At 48.3% G+C, this 26,462-nt stretch overlaps 1 protein-coding gene and 1 long non-coding RNA gene across 55 annotated transcripts in view, besides 1 other annotated feature; one reads left to right on the top strand and one right to left on the bottom strand.

The window, feature by feature from the left end:
- The first annotated feature begins 1 nt into the window (after position 1).
- Positions 2-23,131, top strand: LOC105372602 (uncharacterized). Its single transcript, XR_936695.2, has 3 exons — positions 2-110; positions 16,540-16,743; positions 23,092-23,131. It is a non-coding gene; the product is annotated as an uncharacterized LOC105372602 (long non-coding RNA).
- The window catches only part of EPB41L1 (erythrocyte membrane protein band 4.1 like 1), a 141,386-nt gene continuing 118,592 nt past the window's right edge, over positions 3,669-26,462 (bottom strand). For 17 of the 54 annotated variants that reach the window (NM_001258330.1, XM_047439972.1, NM_001424407.1 and 14 more), the window contains 7 exons: positions 24,092-24,196; positions 22,028-22,111; positions 17,506-17,592; positions 16,624-16,707; positions 14,524-14,604; positions 14,074-14,190; positions 3,669-7,136 (listed from right to left, as the gene is read on the bottom strand). In NM_001258330.1, coding sequence (NP_001245259.1) covers positions 7,128-7,136; positions 14,074-14,190; positions 14,524-14,604; positions 16,624-16,707; positions 17,506-17,592; positions 22,028-22,111; positions 24,092-24,196 — 567 coding nt within the window. In that variant the 3' untranslated portion in view covers positions 3,669-7,127. The remainder of the gene's footprint in view (positions 7,137-14,073; positions 14,191-14,523; positions 14,605-16,623; positions 16,708-17,505; positions 17,593-22,027; positions 22,112-24,091; positions 24,197-26,462) is intronic. The other 37 variants (NM_001258331.2, XM_047439985.1, NM_177996.2 and 34 more) reach the window with 4 other exon arrangements.
- Positions 23,331-24,530: an enhancer, noted in NCBI's record as "BRD4-independent group 4 enhancer chr20:34799860-34801059 (GRCh37/hg19 assembly coordinates)". NCBI's record gives its function as "activates an origin of replication core promoter dependent on BRD2, P300/CBP, MED14 and CDK7 cofactors, and independent of BRD4, by STARR-seq in HCT116 cells {active_cell/tissue: HCT116}" and the evidence as "EXISTENCE:reporter gene assay evidence [ECO:0000049][PMID:35650434]".

Genomic DNA, 26,462 nt, shown 5'->3' with positions numbered 1-26,462 from the left:
CGGAAGTTCTCCAGCTTTGGCGTCTGACTGGAGCGACGGGGGAAGCGGTCCGGCAGAGCCCTGGGTCGCGGGAAGAATGGCCCGTGCCTGCAGGTTCCGCCGGATGCAAGGTTGCCTTTTGTTATTCTTAGTTTCTCGTTTTAGCTTCTGAATTGTGAACAACTTTCATTAACCTATGCATTTTATATCCCCGTCCAGAAACACAGCCACCAGCCATCTTACTTTGGGCTCAAGCAGTCATGGTCACTAAAGCACAGCCAAGGCTTGTACCAGTGGCTACTATTCAGAAGTAGCCAGTCAGGCGCTCGGTCACTGTCTTTGTCAGCCAGTCTCTATCCCGGTCACAGTGTCTCAGCTTCCAGTCACACTCAGCCCTCGGGGAGAGCCTCAGAAACCCAGCCACCAGCCCAGAGAGAACCAGCGTCAGCCTCCGCTGCTGCAGCAGCAGCGGTCGCCACCTCAGTCCCTCTGGCCATTATCACCCCGTGTCCTTCCTGCAGGCCAAGTCCTAACATCTCAGTCAGGCTATCAACGCACTAGGGAAGGAATCTGCCTGTCTTGTTCCTCACTGTTTCCCTGGAACCGAGCACAAAGCCAGGCACAAAAGCTCAGCTGAGTACATATATTATGCATTTAATTAATAATGATGATAATTTGGTATTAATAAATAACTATTTGTGGGTCTAACCCTGCACTATTAATCAGGGTTCCACCAAAGATACAGAGCCAGTAGGAGATCTATATTAAGTGATTTATTGCCAAGAATTGGCTTATGTGATTTTAGGGCAGGCCACTTGGGTATTTCTTTTTTTGAGACGCAATCTCACTCTGTCACCCAGGCTGGAGTGCAATGGCGCTATCTCGGCTCACTGCAACCTCCACCTCCTGGGTTCAAGCCATTCTCCTGCCTCAGCCTCCCAAGTAGCTGGGATTACAGGCGCCCACCACCGTGCCTGGCTAATTTTTGTATTTTTAGTAGAGACGGGGTTTCATCTTGTTGGCCAGGCTGGTTTCGAACTCCTGACCTCAGGTGATCTGCCCACCTTGGCCTCTCAAAGTGCTGGGATTACAGGCATGAGCCACCGTGCCCGGCCCACTTGGGTATTTATAATCCTTGCACTAACCCTTGTAAGGTATGTGTATTCCCAATTTGCAGAAGAGAAAACTGAGGTTCAAAGAGATGTTACACAGCCAGAGAATGGCAGAGCTAGAATGCAAACCAAGGGCTGTCTGTTCTTATCTCTTGTGCTGCTGCTCCTTAGCTTGTCTGTCACATTTCCTCAGTGACAGCTGGACACGCCAATCTGTCTCGGTCAAAATTTATCTCTTAGTGGGTTGCAGACTAGACCGGGCCCTGCAGTCATGGTTAATCACAATGAGCTGCTGCAGGATTAACCAGAGACAGCCTCCATCAGTCACAGTCATGCTTACCAATCTCAGCCTGTCCTGTCAAGTTTCATCTCCTGCATGAAGAAGCTCAGCTCCCTCTCCACCCCTCCCCACTCCCAGTCTTAAGTGCTGAGCTCTATGGTCTGGTCTCAAAGCTCCCTGTTTCAGTTGGGCTCACCGTCTTTTCAGAGACTCCAGGACACTGAACACTGGTTGTAGAAGCTGTAAATGGTGGCCTAGGAGTCCCACCTTGTGGGTCACATGTCCATTTAGATCAGAATTTCTCAACCTTGGCACTATTGACATTTGGGGCCAGATAAGTATTTGTTGTATGTGGCTGTCCTGTGCATTGTAGGATGTTTAGCAGCAACCCTGGCGTCTACCCACTAGAGCTAGTAGCACCCCTCAGTTGTGACAACCATTGCTAAATGTCCCCGGGGCGGGGGTTGGGGGTAAAGGAGGAGGGGTCATTTCCCCACTCTCAATGCAGTTGAAAAACACTAATCTGGGTGAACTTACCTTTGATTATTCGACAAAAGCCGAGTCAGGATGGTCCTTTATGGGAGACAGAAATATGGATCAGGGTGTATGGGGTCCTGAGGAATCATATGAAGACCCATTGTTTGTAAACCAAGTCCTATTCCAGAACCCTAGGGATAACAGATTGCTAAAGGAGACCTATAGGGAAAATTCAGAGAAGGATTCATAATGTTCCTCGCAGCAATTGCCTCTGACAAGAGACAGAAATCTGGAGAAGGCTGAAGAATCACTTTTCACTGCATAGTCTTTGTATCATTTAATGAATTACCTTTCCAAAGAAAATAAGTATTTAGTATTTGAAAGTATACGGAAATGCTCAGGATATATATACGTGTATATAGATATATATGTACATATATATACATATATGTACATATATATATTTTAAAGTATTTACAAAAGTATGTACAAGATGACCAACTCTGGAAAAATACATACACATGGAAAAGACTCGCTGGTGAGATTTGCAGCAATAAAGGTGGGCTGAGGTGAGTTGCTTGGTGGAATAAAAGGAAAGTGTGGTGTGTGCACCTCAGGTGGTCCAAGGGATGAGTTTAGGTTTTAAGTGCATTGTGGTTGTTAATTTTAATATTTTTGCATTTATTTTATGAAGACCTCCTTTCTTGGCAAATAACATAAGCTTTTCATTTGTGGAAGTAATATAGTTTCCTTTTTAAATGCATTTGCTTTTAACGTGAGTCAATTTATTTAGTTAGTTATTTTATTTTATTATTTTTTTGAGACGGAGTCTCTCTCTGTCACCCAGGCTGGAGTGCAGTAGCACGATCTCGGCTCACTGCAACCTCCGCCTCCTGGGTTCAAGCGATTCTCCCGCCTCAGCCTCCCGAGTAGCTGGGATTACAGGTGTGCACCACCACACCCGGCTAATTTTTTGTATTTTTAGTAGAGATGGGATTTCACTATGTGGGCCAGGCTGGTCTTGAACTCCTGACCTCAGGTAATCTGCCTGCCTCAGCCTCTCAAAGTGCTGGGATTACAGGCGTGAGCCACTGCACTTGACCTGAGTCAATTTAAAGAAAAATAAGTGAATAATGGGACAGGTGGTATGAGGATATGGGAACATATATAGAGGTTCTGGGCAAAGGCCGAAGTTGAGGATTGCTGTATTTTTTCCCACTAGGCTCCCATGTAGGGGGGTTACAGGAAGAGAGACTCCAATGTAGGTACTCTTCTTTCAGGAGGAGGGACCATGCTGTTTCTCCGCTCAATAAGCCCCTCCACGTCCTGGGGCCTGTATGCTTACTGTTCCCTCTCCTAGAATGTGCACCAAAGTTCCTCGCCTTTGTTGATTGATCCTTCTTTTCATTCAGCTCACAGATCGCCTCCTCAGGGAGGCCTTACCTGGCCACTGTATTTAAAGTGGTCTCCTTCAGTGACCCTCCTTCCCTTCTCCCGGTGTATTTCCTTCCTAGTGCTGAGTGCTCTGTAACGGACTGTTTGCCTGTGTTGGCATCTGTTTCCTCCACTAGCCTGTGGGTTCATGAAGGGCAGGGACTTTTGTCTTGTTTGTGTTGTGCCTGGAGAGTCACCCAAGGCCTGGACCACCTTGAGTTCCAAATATTTGTTGCATAAACATGTTCTAAGTTGGGATGTCTCCACTTCAGTTTTAGCCCCTCCCACAGTGCCAACTTGTACCAGTGGCCAAAGTCAGAGAGAGACAGTGAGAGAGAGAGAGAGAGAGAGAGAGAGAGAGAGAGAGAGGAGAGGTGCCAAGGAAGTATGGTTCAGCATCAAACACATTTATTTCACTTATATTGAGTATACAAGAACAGAGAGCACACGCATACAGCACGGAGCACTGAGGTGGGGGAGCATGGGGACGAGAAAGGAGAGAAGGGTGTGAGTAAAAAGGAACAGGACAGCATCGCAATTGGTTGTTAAGGTGCTTTTGAAAAAAAAAATTATTTCGAGTGATGTTGCTCATGCAGTTTCAGGCCAGTCTTGGAATGTGCTTGCAGGATTCAAAAACTGAAACAGGTCCTGGTACTTCCTGTACCCTCAGATGGAAAAGATCCAGAGAAAACAAAATAAGAGAAAATGAAGACCCATGAGATAGCAAAGTAGAAAAAGACCCTGGAGAGCATCTGGTTCTTTCTGCTTATTTTGCAAGTCGGGAAACTGAGGCCCAAGAGGGGGAATGGGGATAGCCTGATGTCACATGGTGAGTTAGGAGCTGAGCCAGGATGGTCACCCAGAACTCCTAACCGCCCTCAGGGACTTTTTCCACTATGCTACATGGCCTCCTGGGTGGAGAGGTGGCACAGAGAGGATGAGAAACAAAAAAGAGAAAAGGAAAAGTAGGTTGAAGACAGACAAGACAAACGTCTCTATTCTCTACAAAGAGAAGGATGGGGAGGAAACAGTGCCCTAGATTCTAGCTTTGCAGGTCCCCTCCTCCCTCGTGGCACTGCCTGCATCTCCGTAGAAGGGAGGTCACAGCATCCGCGGGATGGTGATTTCCCCAAACCCTGGTGGCCCATAAACTCCACAAGCTAAGCCTGGTCACTTCACCCCTGCCCCAAAGCCAGGTGCAAAATCCACAACAAGGATCCTCCCTCTGAGGTGTGTTCAGTGTGCTCAGGACTCCTGGTTCCTGCAAAGATGAGTTCCTAGACCGAAGTGGCCCAGAGAGGATGGAGCCACCACTCCAGCTCTTGACCCAGAAAGAGGGGGAACTCTCAAGAAGGGCAGGAAGAAGGTTCTGTGGCTTTTCCACCAGGATTGTAGAAAGAACCTGGTGTATGGAAAGTGTGCTGCTACACTCAGGGGGAGTTGGAGTGGACCCACCGGCCTGCACCAGGGGGAATGCCACTGATTCTGCTGCCCCGCTGAACTTCCCATTTGCCCAGAGAAGCAAATGCTATTCTGATTTCCTGCCCTGCCTCAGGCCAGCACCAGCTAAGCAGCTAAGGTGTATGTCATCACTGACAAGCCAAAGGGACGCATCTAACCTGGGCCGCCTGGGGGCATCCCTGGGCTATGCCCCGATAGGTTGGCGAGAGTGGGGAGATGCTCTCAGATGGGCCAGCCATGGTTGAAATATAAAGCTGGCTCAGGTGGCTCCTCAGGTTCCGCCCTCCCCTCCCACCTTCTTCAGCCTGAGAATAGTCCCTGGCACAAGCAGGTAATCAGTAAATACTTGTGGAATGAATTTATTAACTGGTTTAGAAGGAGGACTGGGAGGTAAAATGGAACTGAGAAATTCGCAGTGCAGTGGGACATTTTCCCTCATCAAGGGGCACTTTCTGAGCTCAGAGAAGTAGCTTGTGGCAGACAAGCCTGAGGAAGCCCACGTGTGGCAGAGAGCAATGCCAAGCTTGTGATGGGAGCTTCTTGAAGGGTTCCTGTGGTCTTGGGGTAATTTCTGGGCACAAGCTCAGAGTTCAGCTGTTGACTGAGAGGGAGGTCTCCAAGCCAAGGTCTTATGCAGAGCTGGAGCCTATGAGCAACATCACCCGTCAGTCTCAGCTTTGTCCTGGGACAGGGGAGGGCTTTGCAAATGCAGTTTTGATCTTTCAGGGTCTGCCCCATGAAGCCTCCTTACCATGGCTACTTTGGCCTGAGAAGAAGAAATGATTCAGAACAAGGAAGAGAGTAGAGGAAAAGGCTTAGCTGGGAATTTTTAGACAGTCAGGTTAAAGCCACCATCTTCTACAATGGCTGAGAGCACCACCTCCCTTTGGATATGGAGTTGGTTATTACAATGGGGTCAGGGAAGGGCAGAATGTGGCAAAAAAAAAAAAAAGAGAGAAAGAGAGAGAAGACTGAAAACCAAGGCAAGCCCCGTAGGGAGATAAGGACTAAGCCAGGGACCTCTACTGTGGCAACTTCAGCAGCAGAGTCCCAGACTGGGACCCAGTACCTGAGCACAGACCAGGCCCTGACTGTTACTACCAGGGGGGCAGGGAGAAGGTGTCTTGAACTGGCATTTTGGGGACGACATCTGTGTTGCTTCTTTCTTGCCAAACCCACACCTCTCCATTAGGGCCCCCCACCCCTCCCCACCAATCAACCAATTACAAACACCACACACAGTATTACTACACTGAACCCGTCAGCCCCTACTGTGAGCCAACCCACACCCAGAGTCCAGGTCTCCTTAGCTGGGCCAGTTCAGTGAGATCTAGGAACCTCAGGATACATCAATCACAGTCAGATAATTATAATTTTAGAATGTCAGCTTCATACTTACCAGCACTGTTTATTTTAATATTTTTTCCTGTTATATGTAATATACATAACTTCAAAGCACATCCGTACAAACCTCCTACAAGCTGCACCTTCATAATGAGAAACCATAAGCATACAATGTCTACTTCCCTTCCTGTGGCTTCGTTTTCTGTTCTTGCTTTCTTTTCTTTTTCTCATTTCAAAGGAGAGTCATCTGCAGTGGCCCTCAGAAGGACCAGGACACAGAGGGTGAAGGGTGTGGGGTGGGGGAAGGGGGAAGGGGGAGGAGGGAGCCGAGACAGAAAATGACAGCAAGACATTGAGAGTTGAGGGTGAGGGGAGGCGGGAGAGAGGAAGGTAGGTTTTGCAGCCCAGTGTCAAGATCCAGAAAGTAAGAATCCAGTGTTCCTCCTCTTTCTTTCCAAGTGGGGAATTTTCTTTTTTTCTCGGAAAATGGTTGACTGTGCGTGTCTTGCTGCTGTGACTTCTCTTGCTTTGCTGTGCAAGTGTTTTCCTTTGCATTCAAGTGGGCCTTAGAGATGCTGGAGAAGAACAAATGGAATTGCTCGTCTGCTAACTGTAACGTGCAGAACCAGGGCGGGAGGGACTTCTACAATCATCGTGGTCTGGCTTGCGTTTCTTATTTGGCGGGGGAAAGGGGTGAGCAAGGGATTATAGTTATTATATAATTTTTTTTCTTGAAAAAAATCCCACCAGTTCTTCAATTTGTCTGCAAAGGAAATGTAGGTGTTCAGATGTCGGTTGTTGCTGTCAGCCAACTGCTCTGCCAGCCCCAGCAGCAGTGCAAGGATGCGGTGTTTCCTGTATATATATCTATATCTCTATATATCTATATATATATGCTTTTCCCTTCCCAGTCTCTCATCAGTGACAGTACGTCGCAGCTGGGACGTCAGTGTTGCGTCGGAGAATCCAGAATGAAGGCCCCTTCTTAATGGTTCTCTGGCTTGGGTTGGACCAGAAATGCCAGGATCTCTTCACAGAGGTCAGGATTCCTGGAAGCCAGAGGCATGGGGTAGAATGGGGGGTGGGGAGTGGGGGGAAAGGAAGGAAGAGGACAAGAAAAATTAGTAACTTCTGTCACTTGTTTTAAAATACATGGCAAGAGGTTGTTTTTGCTACCCTTTACCATATGCCCTTTATTGTGACTCAGCAAGGTAGAGTGACTTGCACCTGTAATCCCAGCTACTTGGGAGGCTGAGGTGGAAGGATCTCTTGAGGTGAGAAACTCAAGGCTGTAATGTGTAATCATCATGCCTGTGAGTAGCTATTGCACTCCAAGGCCACGCAGCTTGTGTGTGGCAGCAGAGAACCGAACCCACATCTGTTGGATTCCAGAGCCCATGTGTGTTTGCTCGCTTGTTTCCAGGGAGGTGGTAATCTTTTACTTTGGCCTGACAATGTGTTAAAATGTCCTTTAACACCGAGAAGCTAAGATCATCATCATTTTACTTTTTCTTCCTATCTTGTCAGCTCTAAGAAATGTTTAGTCACGATTGCAGATGTTCTTTTTTCATTTGGTTTTCCTTTCTGTTGTCCGTGGGCTTGCTGTGTCCTGGAGATTAAACCACAGACAGCAGTGTTTAAATAAAGAAATGAAGTCTGGATTCCAGGTTTGGCTCCAAAACTCAGTGTTTAAAGGAGCAGGCTCTGAAATCAGACTCCCTGAGTTCAAATCCCACTCTATGGGCCTGCTAGCTCTGTAATCTTGGGTGAGTTTCTTAACTTCCTTTACTTTAAACAGTTTTTAACAGACGAGTCTTACTATGTTGCTCAGGCTGGAGTGCAATAGCTATTCACAGGCACAATCAATGCACATTACAGCCTTGAATTCCTGGCTGCAAGTGATCCTTCTGCCTCAGCCTCCCAAGTAGCTGGGATTACAGGTGCACGCCACAGTGCCTGGCAAGTTTCTTAACTTCTTTAAGCCTCAATTGCTTCCTCCGTAAAATAGGTTCTGCCTCCCATTATAGGGAGGAACTGAAGCAAGGGCCCAGCATATAGTAAGTGCTGAATAAATACTGGCTGTTCTTATTATGATGATTGTTGCTGTTGTTAATTTAACCACACACTACTCTGATCTCCTTGAGGGTAAGGGCTATCTTTTAACTCTTGTCTTTCCAGTGTTCAACACTGTGCCTGGCACATAGCAACTACTCAAAACCATTTAATGGATGAAACATCATTTCTGCTACTTGCATGCAGTCGAGTGCTAACGGAATCACAGAAAATGGATCTTTCTTGGCTCATTTGACACATAGGAAAACCGAGGCCCAGAGGCTTCAGGCTTAGTAAGTTGGCAAAACCAAGACTAAAACCCAAGGTTCCTGTTTTGGAACAGGTCAATTTTTTCCCATTAAATTTTGGAAGGTTAGGAAGCTAGGCAAGTGCTGCCCTCTTGCTGGTGGTGTTTGGGAGACAGGTCCTCTCTGAAGGAGGTGGGCCAGTGGGAGAAGATGGAGCAGAAACCAGACGTCTGACCTGCAAGGTTGCAGGGAGAGAAGGGAAAAGGTTCTGTGTGACATGAGTGACTTTCCACGCTCATAGCAAGAACTTCAAGAAGGAAGAACTTTAAGAAGGAAGACAGAGTTAACTGAAGCAGGGACAGATGTTTCTGGAGGATTTGCAGAAGGAACAGAAGATGAAGACCAGTAAGACAAACACCCTCATGGAGACAGGGCCTCAGGCACCAGGCTGGTGGTGGAGAATTACGATCTGACTTTCTCAGTACTCTCATCAACCTCTAAACATGGAAAAACCTCAGAGGGACAAGGAAGCAGGTTCACCTTGCTGAGCCCCTTCTGTAGGCAAGACACAGATCCAGTATATCACAGGTGTTGTTTAGTTATTACAGCAACTCCAATGTATACATTAATGACATTTTGCAGATGAGGAAACTGAGGTCAGAGAGGTTCCTCTGGGCACACAGCTACCAAGGTGTTTCTAGCTCCAAAACCTAGTTGTATCCATCTATTCCTTCCTTCCTTCGTTTCGTTTTTTGTTTTTTGTTTTTTACAGGGTCTTGCTCTATTGCCAGGCTGGAGTGCAGTGGCGCGATCATAGCTCATTGCAGCCTGGACCTCCTGGACTCAAGCAATCCTCCCGCTTCAACTTCCCAAGTAGCTGGGACTACAGGTGCCAGCCACCACACCCAGTTAATCTTTTACATTTTTTATAGAAACGAAGGTCTCATTATGATGGCCAGGCTGGTCTTGAACCCCTGGGCTCAAGTAATCCTCCTGCTTCAGCCTCCCAAAGTGCTGGGATTACAAGTGTGAGCCACTGTGCCTGGCCCCTGGTCAAAATTGAGTAGAAAGAATACTACTCAAAGAATATTACTCAGTAGCAAAATTACTACATCCTAACTGGGCATTGGTTTTGGTTTGGTTTGGTTTGGTTTTTCCTTACAGTAACAGGCTGCACTTTAAGTTTGTGCATCAATTAATGAAGTGGCTGTCCTATAAGTCAGTGTAATCATTATTCTGGGTATGTGGGATGTCTTCGTAAGCCCATAGACACTTCAGAAGTACCAAAGACATCTAAACAATACAGTGTTATGATTTATTCTTCTTGGTTTATTACAGCACAGCACAGTCCCTGCGTGCAGCATTTTGTTAGCCTATTTCAAGTTAATGGTAATAGTAGTCATAATGAGCTTTTATTAAGCACTCGCGATGTGGTAGGCAGTGTGCTAACTACCATGCTGCATGGATGATCTTGGTAGCCCTAGGAGACAGACGTTATGAAAAGTGGGTGTGGTGAAAAGGTCAAGACCATTGGGTTTTGGAGTCTAACAGATTGGGTTTCACTCTCTAATCAATCCATCATGTTCACAGCTTCATGACTGTGAGCAAGCCACTTAACATCTCTGACCCTCAGTTTCCTCATTTGTAAAATGAATGAGCAGGTAACAGTACTTGTGTTGAGTGCACAGCCTGGTGCCTGGCACAGGGTAAGCTTTCCATAAATTATAGCGATTGTTATTACTGTGATGATCATTGCCATTTGGCTGACGAGGAATCATAGGCTGAAAAGTTTAAATGATTTGCTAAAAGGTCACACAGCTAATAAAGGGCAGGGCTTGAGACTCTGCAGGAGTACAGAGCTCTTCCTTGGGGTACCAAGAGGCATCCATCCATTAAGCCAATGTTTCCAAGCACTTTAAAAAGGAGTTTTTGAATTCAGAGGAGACCTCTTCTAGAATTAGTGAGTCTGACTGTATTAAGAGTCAGACTTGGGTTCTACTTGACCATAATTACTGGTAAAGCATGTGGGCAGAAAAGGCAAGGGAGAGAAACTTCTGGCTTGCCAGGGCAACATAAACAAGGTGACCTTTACAGAACAACCCAGAAGAGAGAGAGATGGGGCATGGTGGTGCGTGGGGCAATGGCAGCAAAGAAAGAACTAAAGAGAGGCGAGGAGGAGGGAATGAGACAGCAAAGGGAGCAGTGAGGTGGGCAGATGTGAAAGACTGCATCGCGGCGGGGTGGGCAGGATGTGGAGGCCAGGATGAGGGCTCTGAATGGCTAGGGAAATGGGAAGGCGGGAGCCTGGGGGCCTGGTTCTGAATGCCCTGGGAAAGATGAGGAGGCGTGAGAGAGGGAATGGAGAAGAGATGAGAAAAGCACAACAGATACCCCAGGAAAGCAAATAGCCAGAGGACTGTAATTGGAAGGGGGCTCGCTCCACCTCTTCATTTTGCAAGTGAGGAAACCGAGTCCTCAAGCGGGAAGAAACGGACCTACGGTCACACACCAGTCAGTGGAACAGCTTTAGAGCCAGGTCCCTGGATTCCCAATACAGAGTTCTTTGCATCAATGCTACTATACCTGGCTGCACGCGGACTCCCTAAGGACCAAGGCAGAAATGAAGATTCCCAGGCAATACAGGTCCCAGGTCCCAGTCCAGTCTTTCTAAATCAGACTTTATGGAGAGGGTTCTCCAGTGCCTGTATTTTAAACAGGCTTCCCCAGGTGATACACCCAGCTCAGCAAGTGGCCTACACTCTACCACTCTGAGATTTGGGAGGAATAAAGGAAGAATGATTGAAAAACTGAGGGGATAGGAATGACAATCACTTGTATGAAGGTCTGAGGAAGCCTGGGAGGTAGGCTCCGCCCATGGCCAACCTACACTTCTAGACCAGTGCTGTCCAATAGAAATAGAATGTGAACTACATATGCAATTTAAAATTTTCCTAGATAGGTCCAGGTGCAGTGGCTCACACCTGTAATCCTAGCACTTTGGGAGGCCGAGTCGGGCAGATCACTTGAGGTCAGGAGTTTGAGGCCAGCATGGCAAATATGGTGAAACCCCGTCTCTACTAAAAATACAAAAATTAGTTGGGTGTGGTAGCACACGCCTGTAGTCTCAGCTACTTGGGAGGCTGAGGCACGAGAATCACTTGAATCCGGGAGGTGGAGGCTGGAGTAAGCCAAGATCGTGCCACTGCACTCCAGCCTGGGTGACAGAGTGAGACTCCGTCTCAAAAAAAAAAATTTTTTTCCTAGATAATAGATTTTCTAGATAACACTTCCTAAATTTTCTATATATTTCTATTTTTCTAAAAATTTCTAGATAAATAGAAAATTTTAATTTCACAATTAAATTTCTCAATTTTAGTTTCCATTAAAAAGTTTAAAAAGAAACAGGTGAAATTAATTTAATTTTATTTTATTTTTGAGACGGAGTCTCGCTCTGTTGCCCAGGCTGAAGTGCAATAGTGCCATCTCAGCTCACTGCAACCTCCGCCTCCTAGGTTAAGGCAAATCTCCTGCCTCAGCCTCCCTAGTAGCTGGGACTACAGGCACCCACCAACCCCCACTCCTAATTTTGTATTTTAGTAGAGACAGGGTTTCACCACGTTGGTCAGGCTGATCTCAAACTCCTGACCTCAGGTGATCCACTTGCTTTGGCCTCCTAAAGTGCTGAGATTACAGGCATAAGCCACCGTGCCTGGCCAGATGAAGTTAATTTTAATAGTACATTTTACCTAACCTGATGTATCCCTTATCATTTAAATATGTAACCAATGTAAAAATTATTGAGATTATTTACTTTTTTTATATTAAATTTTCAAAATCCTGCATGTATTTCACCCTTAAAGCACATTTCTTTTTAGACTAGCCAATTTCAAGTCCTCAATAGCCACATGCGGCTAGTGACTACCATCCCAGACAGCACAGAAAGAACACTTCCATCACTGCAGAAAGTTCTGCTGAACAGCCCTAGTCCAGACCAGAGGTTAGCAGCCTTTCAGAGCAGCAGGAAAATGTTTCAGTGCTTTTTCTTCTGACATTAAGGGGTCTGGTAATCAAAGGAAGAGAAACATTCTCGTATCTTTCTAGAAAAGACTGGTTTCATTCATTCAAGGAAAAGGGCAAAAAGGAGACCAGCAATTATATTTGTGGGGTCTTTGAGATGGATTTTTTTTCATTGTGGTAGAGCCCATGAAATGTGTGAAGTACACAACTCTAAGTGGGAGAATAATTTTATAAATGTGTTTATATGTATATACCCATGTAACCCACCCAGTTGAAAATAGTGACATTTCCAGTACCCTAGAAGGTTCCTTTCTGGCCCTTCCCTCTTCCTTGTGAATACTGCATCCCAGAAGTAACAGAAAAATCAGAAGAATTTTTTTCTCAGATAGAAAATCAGGAATATTCTGATTTTCAACCTTGTCGATTAGTTTTGCTTGCTTTTGGACTCCCTACGAATGGAATCATACAGTTTATACTTTCTGTGCCTGGCTTATTTTATCCAACTCAATGTCTATGGGATTTTGCTTTAAGATCTGATAAGATCTGGTAAATTTCCAGAGGGCCCAGAAGAACCCCTCCCCTAATTTAGGTTGCTTAAAAGCCCTATCTGCCCCAACATCATCTTATTTCTCTTATTCACCAAAGCATTGATGGCCCACAGTGAAACAAGAGAATATTAGAGTCCCTAAGATTTTGGCTCCTGCAGGTCTCAGAAGTCAAAATGCAATCATGCCAGGCATGGTGGCTCATGCCTGTAATCCCAGCACTTTGGGAGGCTGAGGCAGGCAGATCACTTGAGGACAGGAGTTTGATACCAGCCTGGCCAACAAGGTAAAACCCCGTCTCTACTGAAAATATAAAAATTAGGCTGGGTGCGGTGGCTCACGCCTGTAATCCCAGCACTTTGGGAGGCCAAGGCGGGCAGATCACCCGAGGTCAGGGGATCGAGACTATCCTGGCTAACACGGTGAAACCACGTCTTTACTAAAAATACAAAATATTAGCTGGGCGCAGTGGCGGGCGCCTGTGGTCCCAGCTGCTCGGGAGGCTGAGGCAAGAGAATCACTTAAACCCAGGAGCCAGAGGTTGCAGTGAGTCAAGATTGTACCACTGCACTCCAGCCTGGGTGACAGAGCAAGACTCCATCTCAAAAAATATAAAAATTGCAATCAAGCAAGACAAAAGGGATCAAGGGCTCTGGTCATCATGGCCCCTTAACAACATTCAGTGACTTGTGATAGAGAGAGAGACTCAGGGCCAGGAACGTGGCACTGGGCCTAGTAGGACTTTTTCTGACTTCCGGTTTATAGACAATGCCCAAGGAGATAATGAGGACCTCCATCTGTCCCACCTCAATATCCACTGTCAATCCTCTCTCCATTTCCCTCCCTTTAAAAAAATTTTTAACCACTTCTGGATTTATTTTTCTGGATCTGGAGCCTGAAACCCCAAAGAAACCAAGGAACCAGTCTTCCTTCTTCTCCCCACCGACTTGTATCTCGGGGAGGTGCCTCTCTCCTTTGAGCAGCAAATCAGGAAGGCTGATGGGGGGAGGGTCAAAGCTGCACTAGGGGTCAAGCCACTGGCTTCTCAGATGGAAATGGCCCTCAGAGGATCTTGCTACTGCTCCCTCCTCTCTCTCATGGTTGCTGGGCCTCAGGAGCCTTACCTGTGGCTTCTTGTCCCTCTCCTCTGGGGATGGGTCTGTTTCTCTGTATACGACAGCTTTGGTTACCAGCATATCAGGATGCTGCAGTTTGGCCTCCTTGATGGCCAAAGCCAGGGCCTGGTGGTAAAGAACAGCAAAGGAAGGAACCATGAACTATCCAAGACGAGAGAGACTGTGAAGAACAGCAAGCCCTCTAGTGCACAGCTGGAAAAACTGAGGCCCAGAGAGGGGCAAAGTCAAACAACTAAAGGGAGAGACTAGAGCTCAGGTCTTCTGGCTCCTTCTGGCTCCCATCCAATGCCCCTCTCTTGGGGGTTTCTTATCTGAACAGGGTCAGCAAGAAGTGGACACCTTCTCTGCCCATGAGGATAGCCATCCATGGGTAACCCAACATAGGAGGGATTGAGGACTGGGCAGTGGCACTGGGAAGAACGGTTGCTACCCCCATACCTGGTCTTGATCGACATCTTCATCCCCAGTAATGATGATTCGCTTCTCGATCCTTGTCTCAGAAAACCCTCCTTTCACAGTCTGCAGAGGGAGAGGGAGGTGAGGTCACTCTTGGGTCCTGTTGGGGCAGCAGCCTCAAGAGGGGACCTACCCAAATCATCTCTCGAGGGCAGGGCTGAGAACCAGCAGTTACCTTCTCTCCTGACTTCCTCAGATTTTTTCTTTTCTGATTTTGGACTTTGAACTGCAGATCTTGCCTGGTTGCCACCACTCCCCAAAACTACCAAACTATCCCATCTAGGTCTTCCAAGCCTAGCTCCAATGCTGCCTCTCAGACCCTGGTTGGCAATGCTTCTGTCTTCCTGCCTTGGTACTGCCTGAGCACTGAATCTGTCTCTCTCACAGTTCTGGACCTCTCTGCCTGGTGCCGACCTTATGTATGTCTGTGGCCTTGTTCACCTCACCAGGCTGCCAGCTCTTGAAGGCAGGGTCTGTATTTTGTTCATCTCTATATCCCCTCCTCCCCCACTCCCTCACCCAGTCTAACCAGGGCAGTGCTGAATGCAGATTTGTTGAATGAACACATGAATGAAATGTGAATGGTGACAAGGTTCTGCCTTAAGCAACTTCAAAAAATACTACAAGAGAAAATTGGATTGATGATACTTATGACCTCCGCTGTTTTCTGAAGGCAAGGGGTTTGGACAAGTTTAGAAGTAATAACTGAGGCAGGACCTAATTGTTTGGCATGTTAAAGCAGGGTGGTGTCTGTGGGGAATCCCAGCTGGAGTCAGGAGTGGATAGAAAGAAGAGGGGGCTCCCAGTTGGCAGGGACTTTGGGAAGAAGAGTTTCCTGAGCTGTCTGCTGTGGGCGTGGGATGTAAAACCTCCCATAAAGCTTTCAGAGAAGTCAACATTGCTCAGTAATGCTTTTGCTGAGAGTGGGTTCTTTGTGGGGTACGTGAGAAAGTGCTGAATCCTGTAGAGGCGCAGGCAGAGGCCAGGACAGTCCGTGCATGAAGGCCCAGTGCAACTGACCAGAGTTCTCCTCTGATGGCTCATCAACCTGGCTGCTCCAGGCCTCCAGCCCTGGCTAGGCGCCCTCCTGCCTTCCTCCTGGCCACATAGGTGTGGACGCATCAGCCCGCCTGCCTCCCAACTAGCCCTTGTCCTTATTGCTGGGTCACCCAGGAAGGCTTCCCTCCTTTGCCCCTACCTCTTGCTGCCTGAGCTCTAACTCACACCCTGGTCCAGGCCCTCCCCACCAGGCCTGAGTTATTTATTATCCGTCTCTCTCCATACTTCTCCCTCTTCTTTCTCCCACCTATCTACACATCCTGGTGGACCTGATATTCTCTCCTTAAACCTATGTTCACTGGGTTACTCTCCAATCTAAAAACCTTCATGGCTTTCCAATCTCCCTGAGGCCCAGATCCTCCAGAGTCAAATGTGTCCTGGTATTTGTTATTTGCTCTATATTCCACCTCCCTGCCCCCAGTGCAACCTAATTTCCCAGTTACACCCCCTACATGTGCTTCTCATGTCCCATAAACAGGCCTCACTTACTGCTACATCCAGCAGCCCTGGCACAGAGGCTAACACAAAGTTGACACTCACTAACATCTGCTCAGTGAACAAACAAATAAGCAAACACACAATTTCTGCTTCCCTCTTCTGCTTTGCTTAGAACACCCGCATCTGTCTTCTCCTCCCTCAGGTGTCCTGCCTGGCTTTCCAAGACTCTACTCAGTCCCTACTTCTTCCAGGAGATGCTTCCTGACTCTTGCAGGGCCTCCCATATGTCACCCCGTCTAGATTCCTCCAGCACTTTCCATCTACAAGGCGCACACGCCATGGTTCACAGTTACTTCAAAGAGGAGAGTATTGTTCCCCCTAGCCTGGCTGTCAACGCCGTGTGGGAAGGGCCCGTGCCTAGAACAACATGTGGCACAGGACAAAGCGCACAGTATTCCAGAAGCTGGTAAACACTACAGGTTTTCTCTGTCCACTTTACAGATGGCGAAGCCGAAGCAGAACAACAGTCATGACCTTCTCGCCTGCAGCTCGGCTGGGGGCATGGGGCGCCCTGCTGCTACTCACTTTGGTGACATGGGTGGTGGTGGAGGTTGAGAGGGTTTCCGCAGTGGCGCCGTAGGTGCTGGTGAGGACATCTTTCCCGATGATCTGCAGAATATAACCACCCCCCACCCAGGGTGTCAGGTAAGGACAGTGGGCTCTGGAGGGGTGAGGGCGGGGTGGGGTAAAGGGCTCTGTGAAGGTGACGTTTCGAAGCCAAGATGCTTTCAGCCATTAAGAATTCAAGAATACTAGAATCTTCAGAAAACTAGACCCATCAAATTCTCAAATCCTGGAGTCTGAGATTCCTAGACGCTAAGATTCCTGAGGCCCAGAATCCTAACAATACCCTAGAATTTAAGAATCCTGGCATCATGGAAGAATGACCAAAAGGATCCAAGGTGGAAACACAGCCCTCCTGATGCCCCATCCTGTCATAGCCAGGTGCACGCTCTCTGCGGAGCTAAACAATGAGAACCACAGACTTGGAGAATGCAAGAGCTGAAAGAGACCCTACAGTGACAGACTCAGGGTCACTGGGCAGGCACCAACAGAGGCAGGTCCAGAATCCAAGCCTCTGGCCTCCTAGTCCATTGCTCTTCCTGGTTAGTAGGGAGGGCAGATGCAAAAGAACCCTCAGCAGCACCACCAAGGTGAGGGGCCGCTTTACCCTCACATGTCACCAATGCCCCACTTACATGTGTGGGCGGTGGGGAGGGCCACTCATGAGATTCTAGCAGGCACCAGGGAGCCCTGTGGGCATCTGAAAAGGGTCCAGTTTCCTGGCTTTGCACCTAGAAGGGTGCCTTCTGGGCTCAACGCTGCACTTCCTGCCAGCCATACATGGGTCCATGCCCATATTCTCAGTGTGGAGTCCCCTAGCCTGAGCTGGCCTTGCCCACTTACCGGAGAAAGAGAACGGATTTCCGTGGCCACCGTCTGTGGGCCTGGGATCATGGCAGCTGCCCCCTTCCCGGACTTGAGACTGTTCTCCTGGGGAAACAATAGTGCTCAGATGGCCAGCTCTCAGCCGGGTGGGCCCCCAGGATGGGCGGAGCATGTGGCCATGTAGCTATCACGACCACAAGGTTGAGTAGAAATAATAGAAGCAAAGGACTGAAGGCATCGTTCAGTTCCGCCTCATTCATCCCTTGCTCACTCAGGCACACATTTGTTCACTCGCACACTTGCACACTCGCTCATTCAACAAACATTTACAGACTGTCTGGCGTTAGGAACACTGTAGTGATCAAGACATGGCATTGTTCTCCGGAAGCACTAGCAGAGGAGTTGCCAGATTCAGGCTCGTGTCCTGCCCTGCCACCTTCAAGCCATGTGACTTGGGGCAGAGCCACTTCCTCTCTATGGGCCTCACAGATTCATCTGTAAAAAAGGACCCTTGCCCCAATCCCACACAGAACCTATGAAGCTAATGGAGTAGAAAAGGTTTTGCAAACCAAAATACATAGGATAAATATAGGGGCATAAGCTGGCTATTTAGAATATAATAATAATAATGACTTTCTGAGTGCTTGCTATGTGCGAGGCATCATTTTAAGGATGTTACATGCCTCATCTCGTTTAATTCTCATAACACCAGTTGGGCATTATTTTTAATATTCCTGATTTACAGATGAGAAACTGGAGGGCAAGAGAAACTTAAGAGTTCAGTCTCCCAGCAAGTTAGTGGTAGAGCTGGAACTTAACTCCATGTTGTCTGACTCCAAGTCCAACACACTGTGCACGCCACTCTGCCCTTGGGAATCTTTCCCTTCAGACAGCTCTCTTGGCCCTACCTTAAATTCTAATTGCTAGATCTTCCTGGAATTGTCCCCTGACTTACTGCCCCCGATCTGGCGCCAGGGCCCAGCTGCCTGCTTCTACCTCCTACTTTCTGCACCATCTCAGGGCTCAGCCTTGTCTGTCCAGGGGCCCAGAACTGTGTCCATTCTGCAGGTCCTCAGTGGCCTGACCTCTGATTCTGGTCCAGGCATGGCACTAGATCTGGACTTCTGCCTACCAAGGGACAGGTGAGAAAAGAAACTCGCTGACTTTCCCCTGCCGCTCCCACACCTGCATCCTGCTGAGGCTGCCAGCAGCCTGGTTCCTTGGTACTGCACCACAAGGCACGTTCCCAGATGCACCTGCAGTTCCAGAATGTGGCCCAGCAGCAGGCTTCCCAAGGGCAGCTTCCGGGCTCAATGCTTCCTTTCCCCTTAACAGCCACTAACCCCTATGAATCCTAGCATCATTCTGGGAAGTTCTCCCTTAAAGCCTCTTATTCTCTCATTGTTCTGTCTTTCCCAGGGCAAAGCCTCACCTCCACCTTCACACTAAAAACAGAGGCCACCACTAGGGACATCAGTCATTCAAAACGAGGCACCCTCTGCTCCTCCCTTCCTCTCCTGTATCCTTGGCCAGTCCCGTCACCTGCCTCCAGGAGGAGTGGTTCCTCTCCCTGACCAAGGCAAACTCAGCCCTCTCTTCCTCCACATTCAGGCTCTCCTCACTTGCCACCCGCTCTCTGGGCCACCTCGGCTACTCAACAGCTTCTGCTGCCTCATGGAGGTCAAAGTCCCCTATCCCTTCACCTATAGCCCAGATATTTATTGGACCCTAGGCCTTTAAAACCAGTTGTGTCCTAGACATTTTGCCCTGGAAATGTTCCACAGGCACCTCAGACTCATCCGATCTCGAAAGGAATTCACTGCTTCTTCCACTTCCAACACACGCTTGTCACTAAAGAGCACTTTCCCCCATCACTCTGTTTACATCAGCAGTTCTCCAACTTCAGAGGCATCAGCTGGAGGGCTTGGAAAAACACACACTGCTGGGCCCCACCCTAGAGTTTCCGAGTCAATAGGTCTAAGGAGGAGCCCAAAGGACCTGCCTTGCTAACAGGTTCCTGGAACCACATTTTGAGAACCATTGGCTAGTGAACGGTGTCACGAGCTCATCTTTCCTCTTGTCCCCTGAACATCCTACCAACGACCAAATCCTGTGCTTTCCCCCCTCCAGGCATCCCTTAACCCTGACCCCTTCTCTGCATCCACCTCCTTGCACTCCAGCCCCACCCCAGCCTGGGCACCAGCATCTAAGCTGGTTCCCTGCCTTCTCTCTCTGTCTCTCCCAGTGGCATGTGGGCCCTAGAGCCCCGGGATGTTCCCTTCTTCAAGCTGGATTCACAGTGGCTGGTACAGAACTATACACATCATGGGTGTTCAATCAATATTTGTGGAAGGAAGGAGAGAGAGAGAAGGAGGGAAGAATTTTTTGCTCAAGTCCCTCCTCCACAGAGGTTGCTAGAATAATCTTTCTAAAACACAGAAACACATATCTGATGACATCATGTCCCTAATGTAAAAAATTTAAGTGATTCCCCATTGTCTGCAGGACAGAAGTTTGAACTTGGTATATGACATTTGAGGTCTATCAAGCTCTGGCCTAGCCTTCCTTTCCAGCTCTTCCCCCCCGACTCCTCCTCCGTGTGCTTGACATCTGGCTTTCTTGACCACTGGTCCTTCCCCAAATGCTGCACTCCTTCCCTTCTGCCCTTTGCACTTGCTTTTCCCACTGTCTAGAATGCCTTCCCCCAGGACCATACTTTAATTTATCCTTCAAGCATAGCTCACTCAAATGTCCCTGCCTAGGGAAAGCCTTTCCTGGCTCCTCCTGGCAGAGCTGTCACCCCATAGCTGTCCTCCTGGTGGCCCCTAGGATAGCATTATTACACTGTCCCATGAAGGCAGGAAAGAAGTAACTGCAGCTCACATCTTCAGGCCACTTATTATGCGCCAGGCACTGTTCTCAGGGCTTTGCACAGATTGCTTTCGTTCCCCCTCACATCAGCCCTTTGAGGTCATGCTATTACTGCCCTCTACCCTCACCCATTTTACAGAAGTGAAAACTGAGGTTTGGAGAGGTTCGGGTGACTTGCCCAAGGTCATCCAGCCAGGAAGTGGGACAGCTGGGCCTTGTTCTCCGCTGTATGCCCAGAACCTAAATACAGGGTCACAGCACATTAAAGGTGCTCATGATGGTCATTTGAATGAATGAATTCCAGCAGGCAGTATAGTTTCTTCAACTGTATCCCCCATACCAGGCAGATAGTACAGACTAATAAATGTTTTTGGAACAAATGAATGAATAGATGGATGGATGGATGAGTAAATGAATGGTATAAGTGCCTGCTCACCATATGAACGGATTTAAATTTAGCCCTACAAGCATCCCAATGACACGTGGTGAAGGACTGAGGGGAGAGGAGGAACTGAGTGACCAGGGAAAGGTGTGCAAGCTGGTAACTAGTTTGGACTTATTGATTTTAAAATTTCTGTGTATTCAAAACCTACCTGCTGGCTAGTCTAGATTGATGGAATTACCTTCCTATGTGTATGTCAGGAGGTTGGCAAGAAACAGTATTTGAAAACAACTTCTCTGGCTCCAGCACTGCTACCTTCCCTAGCCCGAGTAGTGGCTGCAACCGCAGCCCCAGCCCCATGCGGCTGATGTTCACAATGGTCAGGATTAAGGAAGCAGAGCAGAGTGGCTGGGGTTGAAAGTGGGGCTCCTGGTGTCAGAAGGCCTGGGGATAACCTGGCACTACCACTTATTGATTGTGTGACCTTGGGTAAGTCGCTTTACCTCTCTGAACTTCAGTTACCTCATCTATAAAGGTTGTGGAGGGAAGAGCATCCACCTCACAGTGTCTGTGAGCATCCACGGAGATTATCCACTCAGGAGTCTCAGCACATTGACTGGAACCACAACCTGTGTGCCAAATGCTATCTGTTCTGTTTAATCATGAAGGGATCTAGTGTTGCCGGGGTCTCTTAAGAACTGCAGAATGGGGATTATTGCCATTTTGCAGATGAGGACACCTCAGGCCAAGGGCCTTCCTTCATGGGTCAGACAGCAAATAAGTAGCAGAACCATGAGGTCCCTCAATAGGGAGGTCCCAAAAATCCTGGTTCCAACTTAGGGTCACCACACGCCATCTACTGACCAAGGCAAGGAAGTGGTCTAAGGCATGAGACAATGTGCAGCCACCAGGATGGGTCCAGCCTCACCTTCAGAGTGGAGGTGAGATGAGCCAATGAAATCTCAATGCAAGATGAGATTCGTGGGTGCCAATAACCAAAGAAGACCATCCTCTCTCTCTCTCTGCTGTGGCTGAGATGGCCTAGATAACTGACACTATCAGTGGGGATTCCATCGCCCACATTACTCACTTTGGAAAACTGAGGCCTGACTATGTCCTGTGGCAACTAAAGCCCCAGATAATAAACAGCTGACTTATGTCCCATGCCTGATGCAGCGAGGGCAGCTCACAACTTCCTGAAGCAGCCAGGCGATGTTAGCTTGTTCTCTGGCTGTTTGGTGGGGCAGGGGGCTGGTCAGAGAGGGAAGCCTCCTGGGTTCAACTTACCATGGTGGTCGATATGGTCTCCGTGGTGATGGAGGGAGTGGTTGCTATGAACTCCCTCCCCACTGAGGCACTCCCATCAACCTGCTGACCAGAGGAGGAGTCGTTAGAGCTGGGGAGAGCTGGGTATACCTGCAGCATCTGTCACCTGGGCTCACGGCCTCCCAGTTACAAAGTGACAGGCTGTGTGAGTGAACATCACTGGCAGGGGGCTGCACACAGACCAAATCACAGAGGTGCAACAGGCCCTCATTACATTTCAACCAGTGTATTTGGTAAATAAAAAATAATCTCAGACTATCTGGCAAATTCTATCCAAATTGCAATGCGTGTAATCTTTGACCTAGCAATCTCTAGGAACTGACTCTTTGGATATAACCTTTGAAAAGCTCACCGAGAAGTATGAGCAAGGAAATTCACGAGCGCTGATAGTGAATTGCACAAAACAAAAACAATCACAGGGCGAGCCATTGGGAGACAGCGAAATAAATCAAGATTTGCCTCCTAACTGAGATGATCAAGAGTAAGGTGGGTCTATGTATGCCAACAAGGAGTGATCTCCAAAATAATTACTAAGAAGAAAGGTAAGTTGTAAGAAAATGATCACTTCTGTGTAAACATTGTTAAGTATATAGAGATGTAGGTATCTGTGTTGAAATAGGCTTATATTTTTTTCTGGGTGATATTATAAGAAAAATCCCATTTTGTTCTGCTTGAATTGTATAACTATAAACTTTTTTTGTTGTTTTGTTTTTATGTCAATAAGGGTTACTGGGCTGTGGGATCTAGGGCCAATTTTAGTTTCTTTATACTTTTCTGTATGAAAACACAACAGAAACACGTGTTACTAAAACAAAACAGGTCAGTGGGGGAAGCAGCTTGCCCAAGGTCACACAGCTCATCAGAACTCAAGAGTCCTGACCTGTAGTAGACGGCCTCATAAACTCCTACCATCATTATAAAAGTGGGAGAAAGAAATCTGGAAACAAAAGAATTGCCCATGTTGTATTGGTTTATGTCTTATTTCAGTTTTCTCTTTCTCTCTCTTTTTTTCCCTGTCACCCAAGCTGGAATGCAGTGGTGGAATCATAGCTCATAGTTCACTGCAGCTTCGACCTCCTGGGTTTTAGTGATCCTCCTACATCAGCCTCCCGAGCAGCTGGGACTACAGGCATGTGCTACCATGCCCAGCTAATTTTTGTATTTTTTGTAGAGCTGGGGTCTCCCTATATTGCCCAGGCTGGTCTTGTACCCCTGGGCTCAAGCGATCTGCCTGCCTTGGCCTCACAAAGTGCTGGGATTACAGATGTGAGCCACTGTGCCTGGTCTTATTTCAGTTCTTCAGGAAAAGGTTAGTCTCAGAGCAAAAAAGCTCCTAGCATTGTAGCTCTTCTGGCCAGGAAAAACCAGGAGGGCATCTATCAGATCCTCAATCTTAACTTCCTAAGTTTAAAAAGCATGGAAGGAGTGCAGGGAATGGACTGGAAGTCGTGGGCCTGTGCCTATGCCTGACGGCTTTCTCCAGGTGGTCAGGATGCTGCTTCTTGTCAAGACACATGATCTTCGGTTTTCTTCTTTCACTTTGTTCATTTTACTGATCTGATGTGGAACTCTAATGCATAAAAAATGACCCAAGGTGAGCTATTCTGACTGAAGCTGAATTGGGATCTCTCCCTCTTCTCTCCTCAAGCAGCCCCTGAGATACCTCAAGAAACCTCTCCAACTCCTCCAAGCAATGTGAACACCAAGGTCCCAATCCACTAGTCAGTACAGTCCTCCCAATATGCCCAGGAGGAAGGGGTAGACAGGGTCATTCCCATTTTATGGATGGCTAAATGGAGGCTTTAAGAAGTATGGTCTGCCCAGGACAGGAACCTGCTTTACCCGTTGCCCCTCCCCAGAGCTCAGAGAGGACACTGAGGCACAGGAGAGCATCAGGATTAACATATGGGTTCCAGGGAAGCTGAGATTAAAAGAGCTGGCCAAGGGGTTTGGCCACAGCAGTGGGGACCCTACCACCAAATGCCCAATACCCATGCTTAGGGTACATTGGAAGGCACAAGTTACCTGGGTGTTATCCATAGCGGAGACTCTGGTCTGCAGTACGGCCTCCGGCTCAATCTTCTTTCTAATGGCCAGACTGCTGACAGTCATGGTTTCTGTTTTCACGGGCTGTAGGAAAAGGAGGGAGAATGCTCTGTAACTGAAACCCTAGCATGACCCTTGCTCACAGACAATTGCAGTGTGGTGTCTGCAGGCTATCTCCTATCCCCACAGCTGGCCACATCTCTGGAAGGGTACTCTGGACAGGGTAAAAGAGTTGTGGTGTGATATCATAGACAGATAGCCCGCGAGGAGAGCCAGGACCACCACCAGGACCAGGCAGGCCTGCCCTGCGCCCCTGTGCCACACACCCTCATGGTGGCTATATGCTGTTTTTTAGGCTACTATTAGAACATCTACCATTTCATTAACATACTCTATGACAGGCCCTGGGCTAAGTGTTTTCCTTGTGTACATAATGTCACCAAATCCTGGTGAGCTCACCACCTCTCAGCCGCTTCAGCTGAACTCTTCTATTTTTTTTCTTGAGACAGACTCTCCCTTTGTCGCCCAGGCTGGAGTGCGATGGTGCGATCTCGGCTCACTGTAACCTCTGCCTTCCAGGTTCAAGCGATTCCCCTACCTCAGCCTCCCAGGTAGCTGGCACTACAGGCTCATGCCACCACACCCGGCTAACTTTTGTATTTTTAGTAGAGACGGGGTTTCACCATGTTGGCCAGGCTGTTCTTGAACCCCTGACCTCAAGTGATCCACCTGCCTCAGCCTCCCAAAGTGCTGGGATTACAGGTGTGGGCCACCGTGCCCAGCCTGGACTCTTCTTTAGAGCAAGAGCCACACATGCTTGGAGGCCTACAGCATCCAGGCAGGAGATGTCAATGAGTGAAGAGGGTTTGTTGAGGACTGGGGTGAAGTAGAGAGCATGTGGGGTCCATTTGGGTATGGCAAGCTGTGACTATGACCTCTGAGTATAGTTTTGTTTTTGTTTTTGTTTTGTTTTTTGAGATGGAATCTCGTTCCGTTGCCCAGGCTGGAGTGTAATGGCGTGATCTCAGCTCACTGCAACCTCTGCCTCCTGAGTTCAAGTGATTCTCCTGCCTCCCGAGTAGTTGGGATTACAGGTGGGTGCCACCACGCCCAGCTAATTTTTGTATTTTTAGTAGAGACAAGGTTTCACCATGTTGGTCAGGGTGGTCTTGAACTCCTGACCTCAGGTGATCCACCTGCCTCAGCCTCCCAAAGTGCTGGGATTACAGGTGTGAACCACTGTGCCTGGAGATTTTTTTTTTCTTGTTTTGTTTTGTTTTTAAGAGACAAGGTCTCACTCTGTCGCCCGGGCTGGAGTGCAGTGGCACGATCAAAGCTCACTGTAGCCTCGAACTCCTGGGCTCAAGTGATCCCCCTGCCTTCTTGCCTCAGCTCCTGAGTAGCTGGGATTACAGGCACAAGCCACTGTGCCTGGCTGAAGGGGATTCTTATAGATGGTTGCAACCCTGTAACCCAGCCATTCATCCAGTTAATCATCTATTAGTGCCTAGTATATGCCAGGCCTAGAGGAGCTGCCACCTGGTGGGAGAGCAGGCTTGTCAGCCACTGACCTGACCGCTTTGGATAGTGCTGGAGCATAGGCATTACAGGGCAAGGGGGTAGGGGGGCGATATTTCTGCCCAGGGTGGTCAGGAAAGCAAACCCCTGCTAGGAAACTGACATTTGAACTTGGTCCTGGAACATGATAGGTTTGTAAGGCACCGAAAGGGAGAAAAAAAAACCTGCTCAGAGAATATAGCATGAAGTGAGAGCCCAGAGTGGCTAAGCTCATATTTCAATGCCAGGAATGTTGGGGAAAGGAGAGTGTAGGAGGGAGGTTGGGTCTAGAAGAGATGAGGGGGCAAAGGAATGATATGGGCAGGCGTGCCTTAGAGAAATCCCTTCACAGCTCTACAGAGGAGACCACAGAGAGGCCCAGAGACAGTCTGTCCCTCCTCAATGACCACATTTCCTCTCTTCCAGGAGCTTCCATTACCACCCTGAGACCCCAGGGCCAGATGGATTTAAACTGCTTCCCCTTCCCCGGGAAGCCCAGACCCCAGAGAGACAAGCCTGGGCCCGGATCAGGAAAAACCATTCAGCTTTCAGACCAGGCTGCAGGAGCCCCCAAGAGTCCACAGACGCATGCTCTCTGCAGGTGCCATGCAACACAGGTGGGGGGGCATGGGGTCAAGAAAGACCAGACTACCTGTCATCGCTCGACTTCAGCAAGCGATGGGGTCACAGGGTTAAAATACCAAGGAGCGCGTGTTAGGGGTAAACCGAGATGGCAAACATGCGAGCACAGAACCATGCTGTTCTGCGGAGGGGCAGTCATGCAACACGAGAC

The sequence above is a fragment of the Homo sapiens genome, chromosome 20, assembly GCF_000001405.40.
Source record: "Homo sapiens chromosome 20, GRCh38.p14 Primary Assembly".
NCBI lineage: Eukaryota > Metazoa > Chordata > Mammalia > Primates > Hominidae > Homo > Homo sapiens.
Note: the sequence above shows the minus strand (reverse complement) of the source record. Positions and strands in the feature narration are given on the sequence as shown.